At 41.7% G+C, this 16,183-nt stretch overlaps 1 protein-coding gene and 1 long non-coding RNA gene across 2 annotated transcripts, besides 1 other annotated feature; one reads left to right on the forward strand and one right to left on the reverse strand.

The window, feature by feature from the left end:
- Window positions 1,270-5,101, reverse strand: SNAI2 (snail family transcriptional repressor 2). The gene is made up of 3 exons (NM_003068.5): window positions 4,859-5,101; window positions 3,568-4,113; window positions 1,270-2,660 (listed from the first exon to the last, which is right to left on the reverse strand). Exons 1-3 carry the CDS (start codon window positions 4,935-4,937, stop codon window positions 2,479-2,481), a joined length of 807 nt encoding a protein of 268 aa, NP_003059.1. The 5' UTR covers window positions 4,938-5,101; the 3' UTR covers window positions 1,270-2,478.
- Window positions 5,212-5,291: an enhancer, noted in NCBI's record as "active region_27334". NCBI's record gives its function as "activates an Ori minimal core promoter by ATAC-STARR-seq in GM12878 lymphoblastoid cells {active_cell/tissue: GM12878}" and the evidence as "EXISTENCE:reporter gene assay evidence [ECO:0000049][PMID:35858748]".
- Window positions 5,229-15,038, forward strand: LOC107986942 (uncharacterized). Its single transcript, XR_001745895.3, has 4 exons — window positions 5,229-5,873; window positions 6,362-6,436; window positions 10,732-10,833; window positions 14,121-15,038. It is a non-coding gene; the product is annotated as an uncharacterized LOC107986942 (long non-coding RNA).
- Window positions 15,039-16,183: the final 1,145 nt, after the last annotated feature.

Genomic DNA, 16,183 nt, shown 5'->3' on the forward strand with positions numbered 1-16,183 from the left:
TTTTCCTCTTAGAAAGCTGATTAGATTTTGGACACCAAGACACTACTTGCCTGTAGACCTACAAATGAGGAAGGGAAACAGGAGTAGATATGATTCCTGGGATAGCCAACCAGAACATCCAAGAAGGCTTGACTCACTCACACTTCCCCTTGCCAGATGTTTCTACATGCTAGCTGGCTTGGAAACTTCTAGACAATCATTGGCAATCATTTTTATACCATATACATTTAGCTAAATTGGTACTTTTATAAGTTTAGAATGCTCCAGTCAAGCTATCAGCCATTTTTTCATATCCATAAACTGCTATTTCAAATAATTTTGCCTCTAAAAAATATGTATTGCAATGTCAAAAAATTAAAGCAGAATACTTGGGAAGCCTTTTTTTAGTCAAATGCACCCCCTTTTATATGGTGGCTGAAAATGTAAATGTAACATACAGTGGAAGGAATGCGAACATTAAGGGAATAGTATTGGTATTTATTGTTGGTCATTTGCTAGGGGCCTGCTACCAACATCTTTGAGATACAGGTTCTGGCATTTATTGGTATAATATTACAAAGATATTAAAAGGAAAAAGATGATTCTCCAAGTTCTGATCAAATCACCAGAGAGATGTGATGAACAGAAGCAGGACTCTTCTTCTTTTAGTAGGTTTAGGAGTTTGAATTCAAATATATATTTGGCTAACTTTCACAGTTCCTATGATGGTTAGGATTTTTGCATGTGAGTTACTACACATGCATTTATTTAGCATCTACACATGCATATGTGTATGAATGCATGGTCATGTTATACTTTCTCCAGTACACATTAGGTTTGAGTGTGGGCTTGTCCAACGTGTTCAAATACCTTAAAAGGTAATTTCCACTGCTCACTGACCTGTTCCTATCAAACACATCACTTATTTTATATATTACTAGATGCGGGGTTTTCTTTGCATGGTTTAACTTTCCAACTTGTGTAATTTATAGTAAATCGTTTCTCCTGGTCTTTTCATGCAGTTTGTATTCTTTTCCCTCATATATCTCTTTACATAATATTTCTTTTAAAAATCTTAAACTGTTACAGTGTGTAGGTAATAATAAAAGTGATTGTATTTTTTGTCTTCATAAAACAAACTTAATAAAGTCAACATGAAAAATTTTGAAAAGTATTTTTAACTATTAGTAATACAACTAGTTTTGCACCCAGAAAGTGTGATTTTTGTTAAAGTGGTATGCTAACAAACCACCGTCATGTCTCTTCTGAATGTGATACTACTATCTTGAGTAAAAATAATACTAGCAGCTTACTTTATTATAATCTAACACATAAAATAACACTTCAGATGCATAATAAGCATTATTCATTTTTTTCTTGTTAACAAACAATTCTTTGTACAGTGGTTTGGTACTAATCATGAAGCAAGTAAAGTCTCTGAAAATAGTATACAAACGAGATTTTAAATCAAAACTGTTTATTGTAAAAAAAACTTGAAAATTGTTTTTTAAAAAAGAAACATTGATTTCACAAGTCTTCAGGTTGTTTATAGACATAGCTATAGACAACATCTCAGTTTCATACAGAACTCATTCAATCATATAAAAATAAACACAAATTTACATTGACTCATCAACTATACAATTTAAAAAGGCACTTGGAAGGGGTATTGTATTATTGCATTTGTGGTATGCATTTGAAATAGTTTAAGTACATTAATGAATTTGTAAGAATCCTCTTTTGCACTTATTCCCATCTTTAATTAATTTTCAAAAATTATTAAAATGTTTTAAAATAGTAAGACAATGGAGCATGCGCCAGGAATGTTCAAAGCTAATCTTTCCCTCCTCCCCCAAGGCACATACTGTTAATTGGCAAAAACAAAACAAAACAAAAATACTTTTAATACATTCTCCTGTGTTTTGTTCTTGTTATTTTTTTCCTCCCTTTTAAAAATATACTTTAAAGCACTACAGGTAATCAAAAAAAGGCTTTAGTTCAACAATGGCAACCAGACAACCGACATGTAATGGAGTAAACTTGGAATACTTTTTAAGGCACCTGAGTTCGCGTCTGGCAGATCTCTTCCTATGGGAAATCCTATTACAGACTCTATTACAAAGCAATACTGTTCTTTTCAGTTGAAATGATTTGGCAGCAATGTAAATCTTTGCATTTTTTTAGGAAGAAAAGATGCAATGTGCTTTTCATTTTATCTTTGAAGAGAAAGGTTACTGTCTTTTATTCTCTCAATCTAGCCATCAGCAAATATATAGTAATTTTAAACTTCACATGGAAAGGATTATCTTTAAACACATGAATTCCATGCTCTTGCAGCTCTCTCTCTGTGGGTGTGTGTGTGTGTGTGTGCATATGTGTGTGTGTCTATACATATTATTTGGTTGGTCAGCACAGGAGAAAATGCCTTTGGACTTTATTTGTCATTTGGCTTCGGAGTGAAGAAATGCATTCTGTTCGAGTAAACATTGATTGCGTCACTCAGTGTGCTACACAGCAGCCAGATTCCTCATGTTTGTGCAGGAGAGACATTCTGGAGAAGGTTTTGGAGCAGTTTTTGCACTGGTATTTCTTTACATCAGAATGGGTCTGCAGATGAGCCCTCAGATTTGACCTGTCTGCAAATGCTCTGTTGCAGTGAGGGCAAGAAAAAGGCTTCTCCCCTGGGGGTGGAGTGGGAGAAAAAAAGAAAGACAGTCAGTGTTTTTAGAGGAAACATAAAGTAAAATCATGTTAACAAAAGTCAATCACATTTTGCTTAAATAATGAGAAGCAGCAAAACCTGATTAAAATCCCTCATAATAGACACTTTTAAAAATACCTGAATTTTTAAGATAAACTTGAATATTGCATTTAAAAATCATACACGAATATTATTACTGCTGCCAATCATACAGAAATAATTTACGTAGTTCTTGGACTTTCACTTCTTAAAGCTTTCTGCTTTAGCAGATGCAGCTAATGTTGAGCACCTCCCAACATTTCCCAATATTTCCCCTTTTCCCTCTTTCTGTACTATGATTAAGGTGGTCTAAGTGCCATGATACCCTGCAGAATAATTCTGTGATACGAATAAGAAATTAAGGAGCAAAAAATCCCCAAACAAAGCAAGAGAGGCAAAGTAAATTTAGTTTCAACTATCCAAGTCACCCACGGGTGACAAATATCAGAGCAAGAATGTAACTAACAGAAAACTGTAGGAAAAGCCTTCATCTATTAACCAAATCAATTGATTAAGATAGCAACATTTGTATTTGCTGATTACTGGGGGCAGTTTCACAGAACACACATTCAAGCACATCTTTCCTGATTTTCTAACTGATCTTTGAGACCAAACCTTCTGAATCTACTTTCCAAAGTCTACATGCTGTTTGCAGTCCCTGGAGCAGAGGTTGTTAGCAAGAAATGGAGCACTTTGTGCCCTAACAACTTTTTGAGTAGTCAGGAAGTAGCTATCAATGACTGTCCATCATTAAAAGCACTATGTCACAACTTCATGCAAATCCAACAGCCAGCCCAGGGCTTCATTGTATCTCAGAGTAACATTCCTGCCTATGGTTTTTCTCTTACCCGTGTGAGTTCTAATGTGTCCTTGAAGCAACCAGGGTCTGGAAAACGCCTTGCCGCAGATCTTGCAAACACAAGGTAATGTGTGGGTCCGAATATGCATCTTCAGGGCGCCCAGGCTCACATATTCCTTGTCACAGTATTTACAGCTGAAAGATTTTCTAGACTGGGCATCGCAGTGCAGCTGCTTATGTTTGGCCAGCCCAGAAAAAGTTGAATAGGTCTTATTGCATAAATTGCACTGAAACTTTTCAGCTTCAATGGCATGGGGGTCTGAAAGCTTGGACTGTAGTCTTTCCTCTTCATCACTAATGGGGCTTTCTGAGCCACTGTGGTCCTTGGAGGAGGTGTCAGATGGAGGAGGGGGACTCACTCGCCCCAAAGATGAGGAGTATCCGGAAAGAGGAGAGAGGCCATTGGGTAGCTGGGCGTGGAATGGAGCAGCGGTAGTCCACACAGTGATGGGGCTGTATGCTCCTGAGCTGAGGATCTCTGGTTGTGGTATGACAGGCATGGAGTAACTCTCATAGAGATACGGGGAAATAATCACTGGGAAAGAAAAGGGAGGGAGAGAAGATTAAGGCAAAAATAATTAAAAATAAATCCACACGCAAGTATACACACACTGGAAAGATATTTAGCAACACACACGTGATTTTCTTAGGAAGAAGATAGACCCATTTAGGAGGGCATACACACTGGTAAAATGTTTCATTTCCACCCTGGCACCTACGGAGTTACTGTACTTAATGCACACATAGGCTGACAGCTGCACGGAGCTATAGGTGCTCTGAAGTCAGACAGTGCAGCCAAGCCAGTGCCTTCGCCGTCCCCATTGAGGAAGGAGAGCCTCAACATTATTTTTAAACATACAGAAAAGTTGTTTTCCATGTTACGTATGGGCTATTTAGGTGTATTACGACCGTGAGTACAAAGATATGCCTGCATCAAGCCGCCTTCTAAAGGAAAGGAGACTTAGTGCATGAAAAACGCAGTAATTCAATCCTTATGTTGCTCATCTTTCACATACTCATTATGCATGTATACACAGGCTTTAGCAAACGAAGCTGCGAGATTTGAATGAAATGTTCCTTGTTAGTCAAGAATTTTAAAAGTTTTGAATTAAAACGAACCCTAAATGATCAAAAGAATGTAAGCTCCCTTTCAGGACACTGTTAAAAAGGAAAACAGTTGAATCTTTGGCTCTTTTGTAATGGTATTTGAAGGGTAATACGTAGATTCATATTTGCAAAGCTCTAGATACGTAGTTCTAGATATATTTTTCTCTTTTTACCTGTATGTGTGTCCAGTTCGCTGTAGTTTGGCTTTTTGGAGGCGTTGAAATGCTTCTTGACCAGGAAGGAGCGCGGCATCTTGCCAGCGGGTCTGGCGGGCGCCCGGCGCGGATAACGGTCCGGCGGGAGGACACGGCGGTCCCTACAGCATCGCGGCGGGCCAGGCTCGGGCAGGGGCCGTGCTCAGGTGCGGCAGACGGACGGGCCGGCGCCTCTGAAGTCACCCGGCTCCTTTACGAACTGAGCCCGTTTTGGCTGGGAGGGTTTTTTTTTCCTCTCTTTTGCAAGAAAGATCCAATCACAGCTGAGAGGTTCAGATTTCAGCTCCTCCCTCTGGGACAGCTGTGAACAGAGGAAGAATCTGTTGTCAGACTAAATTATTCTGGTTCAAAATGGGCTGTTTTTTGAGATTTCAGTGGAGAGGAAAAAAAGTGTTTAAGTATTTTCAAGAGAGGTAACCTCGCTCGGTGAGCCCCGCCCGCGATCCACGCTCTCTGGGAGCTAGGAGGGGCGCAGGAGCCGGGGTCTCTGCCCTGCCCGCCTGGCTTCCAGATGTGGTGCAGCGCCAGCGCGCGGGGACACAGTGTCCGCCAGGAGAAGGAAGGGCCGCCCTGCACCACACCAGGCCAGCCTCTGGTGTTAATGAGAGCCTATATTTGGAAGTGGCATCTGGAGAGGTTTGCCTTGCACAAAGACCAAATAATTACCTCTTGGCTTTTGAAAAAGGAAGGGGGAAGCGGGAAGACAAAGGCGCCTGTGAGCGCGGAGGACGCTCTCCTGGGACTCTGGCCTGGAGCGGGACTGCAGCCTTGCGTGCGGCGAGGGCGCTGCGCTACTCAGGGCTTCCGCGAAGCCAGGGGCAGCGCGGCCGCGTGCAAATTAAGTACTCATGTCACCGTGTTAGCTATGGTGGCTTGAAAGAAATGCTTTGTAGCCCTCTAAAGGCAGGCTGATCGGAAGAACTGGAAGATTGCAAAGATAAAAAGGAACTCTGGCAGAGAAGGGGGGCAAGAGGTAACTGTCATTTGGAACCACCGGACATTCTCTCACACTTTTGACAAGAGATCTTATCTTTTCATGTATTACAGTGCATCTTTTTTTTTATGGGAAAAAGGGTTGTATGGGTCTTTAGAGACAATTATTTTTATTTCTAATATTCCCCTGCTTTTATGTGGTGCTATTTTCATCAGTATAAAGCCATTAAAATCCATCTCAGTATCTACCAGTTTCCTGTATAATGCTAAAAAAGAAATTGAAGGATATTATTATGAATATAGATTGATTAAAGTTTTAAGAACCCAGTCTAGTAACTGCAAAAACACCTTTATTTTGTGTATGGTCTTCAATCTAAAAATACTTTCAGGTGGTTTATTTTAAATATAAAATTTCAAGCATATTTTAAAGCATCTCTGTCCATTGCAGACTTTTATCCCTATCTTTTGCTAAAAGAATAAGGAAAGAACAAATTCACATGAAGATCACCCTACTCTTGTTTCTAACAGGTGCTGGAGGAAAAAAGTGAAAAAGAAAATAACAGTGGTGATGTCAAGACTTGTCAGAGAAAAGTGCATTGTCAGGTTGCATAACTTCTTAATCTTGGAATGAGAAAACAAGAGTGTATGTGTGTTTGGAGGGTGAGGTGGGGCACTCACAGATTTCCTAAGCTAATTTCAATGATTATTCTTATTTCTTCCAACAGTCACTAATTTAAATGTCAAACAGAGAAAATAATTCAAAGGAATCCTTATGCTAATGGAACTGTACTTGCAGGAGAGAGGAAAATATGAATACATATTCGATTTCTCCACACACAAACTGGAACCTGGAGTAAAAGCCAGAGGCAGTTTTCTAAGCTTGCTACTCTATGTGAGGGTTTGTTCGGATGTAGGCACCTGGGTTTATGAGAGCAGGAGTCCTCCTTGCTTTTCACTCCATTTCCCACAAAACACACATTTTTGTTACAGATATAGCACAGTTGAGAAAACACATATCGCCATGGCTATTATTTCCTTGTTTCACTCTACACAGTCTATTCACAACAAAGAAGAGTGTTAGACAATGTTTTGGTATTTATTTGCTGGTAGTTATAACACAAGATCATCTACTAAAATGTGTATTCAAAAATCCATTTACAACGTTTAATAATAATTCACTATGCATGAAAAAAGCTTACATTTGGATCACAGAGGCATAATCCAGCCCAGCCCCATCAGCAGGTATCCGAGGGTGCACTGCACAGATCGGCGTCAGGACGTGCGGCCACACCTACTGTGAGGAGAGGATGGGGCTCGGGTCTGTGCATGGGGCATGTCATTACACAGATCCGCGTGCTAGCGAGTAACACGTATGCCCGTGTGAGGTCTGGGCCGCTGTCAGAGCAGGGCGAGTCTGCGCGCTGATGGCGTGAGTCAGACGAAACAGGTGCTCTGCTCAGACACAGCGGAGGGCATGTGGCGCCAGCACCATGTGGTAAAAACGCAAGCCGGGAAGTCAAGGCCACACCCAAAGGCCAGCTGCTGGGACTCTGCTAAGACAAGACAGAGGTTTCCTTTCCTTCTGCCAGCCAGAGGGCTCATCTGGAGGGGTTGGCTTTGGTCGTTGACAAAAAGACTTTCTCTTGCCCAGGGACAGAAATCTTTGTGGAGGCAACTGCACCAGATTTTAAAGCTTTCATTCTGGAATCCAATAGAAGTCAAATCAATGACTGAGGGGGAAAAATGGAACAAGCAAACCCAAGTGGGTTTGCTAATCCAAGGATTCAGTCCTAGGTTGGTGAGAAATTGGTGCTCCATAATTAGGCTGATTGGGTTTATCAGCCTAATTTATTTCATAACAATTAAATAAATGGTGCTTGTTCTTAGAGCCACGTGGACACAGCCCAGCCAGGGTGAAGCCAGTGGGCACGGGTAAGACAAAAGGAAGGCACAAGCTCTGCTCTTAGGCTCTTGAGAGTTTAATGTAGTGTAGGGAGAAAAAAGGAACTCTGGAGGCCATAGTGAGGCTTAAAAAATAATCCTTCCTAGGCTTGAGCCACACTGGCGAGACTCCATGGCATGGGTTGTGCGGGTTGCCTGGCACCCCAGACACCCGTATAATCTAATTCCTTAATTGCCATGATGTGATTTGATGTGACGTACCTGACAGGCTCTCATTTTCTCTGTTTTCTGAAGAAGCTGACCAAGATAACTTGTGGAAAACTTTGTAAGTTAAAGATCTGGGCCAGCCTTCCCCACAGGCTCCCTGGATGGGTGGGGTTTCTCCCGGAGCCAGTTTTCTTCATGAAAGACACATTCTTGCCCTGCCAAGTAGGGGAATAAATTAGATCCGTGAGGTTTGGGAACGCACCTTGGGTTTCTTTACTTTGCGTGGAGATTTGTACACATTTAGGTATTTAGGTGTGTAAAAAGCAGTGCAAGTATTGACTACCATGTTTAGGAAATGGAGTAGTAAATCTAGCACCAGAAGAAACCAGAGTGTGGCATAGGCTGAAAAATCCCATTTTATGCTGTGTCCTATCTCCTAAAATGAAAGGCATCTCTTTCTAAGTTTGGTGTGTGGTATGATCACTCTGGAGGGGGTTCATATCTCCTCAATTCATATGCATATTCATATCCCTTGAAAAATATGAAGTGATGAAATATCATGAGTTTGGCTGTGCTATCTGGAGAATATTATAATACATTAGTAATTTTAAAAATCTATTTACATAGAAACAAAGCATTTATTAAATATAACTTTGAAGTTTGAATGACAAGGGTGTGATGCCATTTTGTGGGTTTTTAACATACACATATCTGTATGTAAAAGGATTTAGGAAGAAATATTCCTAAATTTCCTTTTGGAAAATTGTCAGAGCGGGCATGGGATTCTGCTTATATATTCTGAGCTCCACAATAAGGAGAACCTCTTTTCTCAAAGGGAATGGATGGCACTCGCCTATGCACTCCACATATGTAAGTATATGTGCTTGGTGATGTCAACAGGGCCAAATATGAGCATGAACACACCTTTGTGTGAGCACTCACATGTCTGAATGTTGGGAAAATAATAGCCAAAAATGGTGTCAGGATGTCCCTCTGCTGTTTAGGAGTTTCCATTATTTCCTGCGTGTTCCCAGTGTCATGTTCAGCAGGCCAATAGCCACTAGGCATCTGCGTCTGTCTGGAGTTAGTGCTAATGCCAATAGCTCAATAAGTACCATCACATATGATCAGTAAATATTTAAGATCACTCCAAACAGAAAACCCTTAACTTGGGAACAGCATTTTAATGAAATCTGCTTTCTGCCAAGTCACTTGTGTTCAGAATCTTATTCCTAGTTATGTTTGTATGATCTCATTTCCCTTTGGGTGGATAGAATATGGTTAAGTGCATCATGAAAAGTAAGAGATATTCATCTCTTCAGTGTTCTGTGTGTACCTTGTGGAAAGTGTTGATGATATTATCTGTAAAATGAAAAAGAAAGACTAGGGAGTGTTGAATTTGTGTGTATTTTAAGCGACAGCTCAGGGATATGTGGTTGCAAAGAGACATCTATTGGTCAGCTTCAGAAGACTCATTATTTTCTTTGTCTTTCTTTCCTTTTCCGTAACTTTTTAACAAGGTCTGCCACCTAGTGGAAAATGGGTGGATTTGACTCAACCCTGAGAACATCAACCTGACCTTGTTTTGCAATTGCCACAATTTCAGATGGACATTATATAAATTTGTTGAACTTATTAATGTACTCATAATTCAAAGTGACACATTTGTATTTGTAGAAATATGCACAACATTTACACAACAAATTATGATGATTTTATAAGATAGGCGAGAAAGGGAATGTTATGACGTCATCAGTCTGTGCAGTCAAGAAGGAAGTAGGCAGAAACAGCTAGCATTACACTGGAGGCAAGTGAGCAACCTTCTGGACTCTTTGTTATGTTTGCATGATAACCTCCAAGGTAGAGGAATTTTAAAAATGGGAAACCAAGCCTGAGCCCAGTTTCCAGGGCATTCAGAATGATTTCTTCTTAGTCTGTCTGCCTCCAAGGCTATGTACTTCGTTGCTGGAATCTGCTATCCCATTTGGTTTGCTTAAAGGACACTCAGTGCCCAACAGTGTGTGGCATTATGGGTAGTGATAAGAGCTGCTATTCTTCATGATTAATATGATTGTCTGTCTACTATGCTAAGCACTTCACACGCATTATTTTAATGCATGCCTCCAAAGTAGCTTATTTTGCAAGGTAGAAGTTATCCCTACTTACAGATGAAGAAATGAAGACACAAGGAAGTTAATTATCTTGGTCAAATCACACTGCTAGTAAGGAGTACTTAGAGGTCGCACTTGAATCTAGACCTGTTTAACTTCAAATCCCATGCATTTCACTACAGTAATGGTAATAACACATCATAATGGTGAAATAGACCCATGATTAGCTGTAAAACATGACTTGTTTGAAAATTGGCCTCCCTGCTTTCTCTTCCCCACTCAGAGGATACTCACATACAGTGTTTGCAATCCCTCACTTTCACTCACTGCTCTCTCCATGCTGTCTCTCCCCCTTTTCCCAAGTCATACCAGGGTCAGGGTTACTTGATTTCAGACTTGATGCCAGTTGCCTCCAGGTGTTGGGTGTGACTTCAAGGAATAGAATACTAAGTGCTTAATGAAATAGGTGCCATTGTCTTCTGGTCTGCCAAAAAAGGAGATGACCATTAATTCTTATTCTGTAAGAATCATGTGGTTTTTCCAAACGGGTGGTTAAATTTGTTGCCTTATCTTGAATGGGATTATGTGGGGAAAGATAAATGCATCAATGAGGAATCAATGTTTCCAAATATGATGGAGAAGTTTTATAGTCTGAAAATTTCTCTTTTCCTCTCATAGGTGTACCCATGTGTGGGTGTGTCCATGTGGTGTGCCTGCCTTGCTCCAGAATAAGCCTCCATAGGTTCCCATGGCAGTGGACATGTTTGGTAAACTTGTAAGGTAGGCTGGTCTGCATTCTTTTACAAGAAGGGCTTGAGGTGCTTCCTGGGGGAGAACATATCCAGGAACAGTAGGGAGAATAGGAACCAGGCCTACCAAGCCTAATCTTACAACCAGCTCTTAGTAGCCACAGAAGGGTGTTGAAGCTGAGTACAGCAGGGTACCAGCCACTTCAGTATGTCTTTTGGCCATGCACCCAAACATGCTACGGAGAAGCATGCATGATTCCCTCAGTGAAGCTGAAATGTGGCTTTCCTAGAACTCTGTTGGCATTAGAGAGCAGGTAGTGCTGCCTTGGAATCTCTGAGGCAGAGGTCGCATGAGACAAGGAGAGAGCTTCCTGAGAGCATTGCCACAGCTGGCAGTGAGCATGACAGTAAAGTCCCTGAGTGCCCCAGGGGCATCAGCGTGGGTGGTGGGCTTGCCAACAGGTGTCGTGGTGTCTGACAGGCAGGTGGGTCCCCAGTGGAAGTGGCAGTGCTCTGCTGCTGTGGACCGAATGCTTGTGTCCCCCTAACATTCCTGTGTTGAAACCTGACTCCCGAGGTAGTGGTCTTTGAAGGTGTGGCCTTTGGGATTTGGTTAGGTCCTGAGGGTGGAGCCCTCATAAATGGGATTAGTGCCCTTTTAAAAGACCTTAAGGAGCCCTCTCCTCCCTTCCTGTATGTGAGCATACCAAGGAAGACAGTCTGTGAGCCAGGAAGCTCACCAGACTCTGAATCTGCCCGGGCTTTGATCTCTGACTTTCAGCCCCCAGAAGTGTGAGAAATGAACTTCTTTCTTTTGTTCTTCATAAGCCAACCAGTCCCAACACTTTATTCTAGCAGCCCCAATGGAGGGAGGAGGCTGCCCAGGGAGAAATGAAGGCCTTTCATATCCGTTGGCTCTCAGCAGAAGTAAGAGCAGTGCCCTGTAAGGGGGCAGAGAAGACAGGGTGCACAAGACAGAGAGACTGGAATGGATTAGGAGGAGGAACACTGCCTGTTCTACATCAACACCCAAAGCTTATCTTCTAGACCATAAAGGACAGCACTGTGGGATTCCCAGAATGATGTTGCAGTTGCTGGGCCCTGCATTAGTGGGAAGGGAACACAGCCATCGCCTGCACATGAGCAAAGGAGAAACAGATTGGGATCGCTGGCCTAAGGGTGCTGGTGTGAACTCCCAGTCCTTGCCCTGCATGGCACCACTGCCTCTCTCTAGGCTGGAGATCTGAGTCATCAACACACCTATCTGAATATGAAATTTAAAATCCTTTAGAACAGCAGACTGTGATGCTTCCCAGGGTGATGCAGAGAAGCAAAGTCTAAATTATGACATGTGTAGGATGGACTCCCTCATTTAGATCTTGATGAACCAATTGCTGAGCTATATCCAAAAGCAAACCTGTCAGAGCTCTGGGAATACAAGGCTTGGGAGTGCTTCCCAGGTCCTACAAGTGCTGTTGCTTTTTCTGCTCCACAGACACTGGCCACTTGCATATAAAACTTGGTTACACCATTTGCAAACCTAATCCTTGATAAAGATCCCTGAAAAAAGATGGAGAACCTGGCCTTGAAGAACTTTGTGGCTATTTGGACTCACCACAAAATCCAAATTTTTCCCGGGATAGAAATATTTGTATGTTGTGCTTTATCAAAGGAGGCATTTTCTTAAATGATACCATGGCTATTTAAAAAGAAACACACACGTGCACACACTCCACAGGTAGAAAGATCTTTTCTAAAAGTGCTTTTGGGCCTTGCATTTAAAAATGAAAGTCCTATCTTAAGGCCAGAATGATAACGGGAAAGAAATATTGCACTTATTTGTCCCCTTCAAACCTACTGCTGTCCTTGGATATGAGCCTTTGCTGGCACTAGGAATGTGCCCTCATTGCTCAATTGTCAGGTGAGTGGGCAGTCCAGGTGAGCCAGTAAGAGAGGAGTATTCGAATCTAACACTGAAGTTATTGACATAACACTTGCCAGCACTTAGAGGTGATTGGCTGCTTGCGGAGGCACAAATCCTTTTAAGAGCTGGGTTGATGGGTCCCTTTGTCATTGTGACTTTTTAGACAGGCTTTCTTCTTCCCCACCCTGCTTCCCCAGCAGCGTTATATAGACCCAAACTCTACTGAGTGGGTGGAATTCATCATTGTACTTTTAAAGAGAAGGTGGAAGATACTGTGAAATCATTTGCAAGTGATAATGAATGGAAGTTAATGGCATGCAAATCATCCTGAACCTCCCAGCTCTCTTGAATCTTTGGGATTGATTGCAGTACCTCAATGATGAGTGAGTGATGAGCTAGAGTCGGTAATTGCACTCCAGGAAAGTGGAAAGGGAATCTGAGTCTTAAGAGAAAACTGAGATGGAATGAAGTCATAGAACATTAGAGTGAGGGAGGGCCTTGGCGATCTAGTGTAACACTCCCTCCCATTTTTTACTTTTGCCTGAGAGGGCAAGAAGAGGCTTGTGCAAGGATGTGAATCTTCCTAGCATCATAGAGGATTACAACTGTAATGTGCAAACTTCTAGCAGAGCGCCATAGCAGGTAGCCCCCAAAAGGTACCCTGCAGAGGCAGTCTTTTATTTGAAAATGTAATTGATCAGCTTCTGCAAATTATCCTTGAAGGCCTTTAAAGAGAAAGAATAGTACTCTATTTAAAAACTCAAGTGCAATTCTGTATCTTGACCTGCTTAGTCCTTTCCCACCCCATAAAGTAGTACAGTTTAATATCTAAGGGGTTATTCCTTGTGGGCCATCTACCTTGCGTGTTTCATTTTCATTTTCATTATTATGCTTCTGCACCCTGTGCAGAAAACAGAAGGTACAAGATATTGTGGCTTCAATAATTTTAGACCAAAATGCAAAGTAGGACTTTTAACCCACACAACTCCAAGTGGCTATATCATAAGGAAGAACTTATGGTGGAAAGGATGAATGTGTACACCTTGATCTTCCTGACTCCCAGTGTGTGGTTTTCTTTCTATTCAAGTCAAGAGTGGATTTCCCTTAGCTAGAAGCTACAATTGAGTAAGATTTTGTTGGCCTAGTGAGTAGATACTTTGAATTTTATACCGCAACTATATGGGTACAATGGTGTTCTCAAAATTGGGTTGCAAGTTCTTTAGTCCCTGATATCTACCCCAAAGCCATCAAATGAACCCAAGTCCTGCTAGGAATGGTGAGGTTGAGCCCCCACTTGAGACACTCCTGTGGGGACTCTAGGGATAGCACTGTCAGGCACAAGGCAACAATCCTCACTCCACCACATACCACAAAAATGTCTCTTATTTCTCTAGGTGACAAGGAAAATTGATCAAGTTACGTTAAGAGGAAAAAAGGCATTCCAGGCCACCATATCCTTAGTCACGTAGGCTACTACCAGGTCACTTCTATAGAGGGAGAATGCCGAGCCAATTTGTCTGCATCATTTCTATGGCATGAATCAAAGTTGTATTTGTGTCCATCAGAATAGAGACTTTATGCTGGAGGAAAATCACCCATGAGCCCCAGGGAAGGCAGTGATTTGACACAATGATGTTGAAAGTCAAGAGTGCTCAGCATGAAATGCCCCAGCGATGACAGCAGGATTAACCATCAGTGTGAAGACAGAATGGGTGTGCCTGTTGATGAAAGGCGCTTGGACACAGAGGCAGCCCTTCCCTGGCTCTTCTGAGGATGTCTGCTGGATGGAGAACAGTCAGAACACCTATGGATCTGAAGCTTAACCAAAGTGGAGATTGAGCAGCTGTGGGAAGTCATAAGTAAATCACATTTACAACTCAGCTGGTTGTACAGATGCAGTTTGGAAAATTTGGAAGCTGGTTTTATATATTGTATCATTCTCTTTTGAGAAAAGTTGGATATTTCTGCTTGGAGTGTGTCAATGGATTCCAAAGTGAATTTGAAAAAAAAAATCTAGAAATGATAGGAAGTGGTATGCTCTTCATCACCATCATCATTTTCTTATGAGAGCACTTAAATGTATATATTTTGAAGAAATTTCAGTAGATACACCCACAGTCATTTCAGGTTGATGAACCATGCTCTTGAAGCCTCAGCGCAATTGCCAGAGCACTAAGATGGAGAAACAATAGACGTTTTCTTTGGAAAGAACAATTAAAGGTGATTGATCACAAATTCTTTGTCTTACACGCAGCTTATGTTTTCTTAAGCTGTGTCAGCCTGGAGATTAAAAGAAGGTTCAATTAAAAACACAGAAGAGTAGCTGTCTGTCTTTGTCCCTATAGCTTTGCAGAAGGCCTCCTTCTCAGGCTCTCCCCATCCTTCCCAGAGTCCTGGGTGGGGGCTTGGGGTCTCTCACGGCCTATCCATCTTGGTGGCACTGTTATTGTCTTTTTCCTCCTTTCCTGGCCCCAAGCCAGGCCTCTGGTAGTCACCATTGCTGCCAAACATGCTGTGCAAGTTGCCAAAGCCATTGCAAAGCTTGTATGATGTTCTTGAAGGGTGGTGTTCCTTCTGGCTTCTTTTCCTGTGTACATGCAGACCCATTTTGCTTAGACTCTAGTGTCCATGCTCCCATGGGCTCCAATCCTCTGCAGGTAGAGAACATCTCACTGCCAGATATGTCTTCTTCTCTTCCACATGGATTGCTGAGCACAACAGCCATAAGGCCTCACTACCTTTACCCAGCCCTATGCTGTATAAATTTGTTTTAATCCCCCACCCTAGGGTCTGGAAATCAGGCCACGGGGCCCAAGAAGAAAATATTAATACGAATGACAGATACTGTGCTCAATGCAAAATAACCTTTCTTCTTTGACACTGAAGCACTTGTCTTCAGATCTGTGCCCTTGGATTACCATCATATTCACTTAGCGATGGGGATATATTCTGAGAAATTTGTTGTGCAATTTAGTTGTGTGAACATCAGGGTGTATTTACACAAACCAAGATATCAAGCCTACCACACTCCTAAGCTATATGATATGGCCTATTTCTCCTAGGTGACACACCTGTACAGCATGCTATTGTACTAAAAACTGTAAGCAATTATAAAATAATGGTATTTGTGTATCTAAACATAGAAAAAGTACAGTACAGTAAAAATACAGAATCATAATCTTATGGTATCACCATTGTATGCATGTTCCATTGTTGACTCAAACCTCCAAAACATTGTTTATGTGATACATGACTGTATTTTCCTTGAAGGCCTCCTGGTCTTTTATGCAAATAGACACCTGATAGGTGATCTCTCCCCTGCCCTGCAGACATCTCCTGATTGTTGAATGCCAGGATGAACACAACCTAGGTCCTTGAACTGAAAATCTTATTACATACAGATTAAGAAATTAAGAACTAGGCCAGGTATGGTAGCTCACGCCTGTAATCCCAGCAC

This window comes from Homo sapiens, chromosome 8 (genome assembly GCF_000001405.40).
Source record: "Homo sapiens chromosome 8, GRCh38.p14 Primary Assembly".
Classification (NCBI taxonomy): domain Eukaryota; kingdom Metazoa; phylum Chordata; class Mammalia; order Primates; family Hominidae; genus Homo; species Homo sapiens.

Excerpts from the sequence above, each read along its gene's own strand:
- SNAI2 (NM_003068.5), bottom strand. The coding sequence starts at position 4,937 with ATGCCGCGCTCCTTCCTGGTCAAGAAGCATTTCAACGCCTCCAAAAAG. Across the intron at positions 4,114-4,858 it reads CGAACTGGACACACATACAG|TGATTATTTCCCCGTATCTC; the intron begins GTAAAAAGAGAA and ends TTTCTTTCCCAG. Across the intron at positions 2,661-3,567 it reads ACACATTAGAACTCACACGG|GGGAGAAGCCTTTTTCTTGC; the intron begins GTAAGAGAAAAA and ends CTCCACCCCCAG.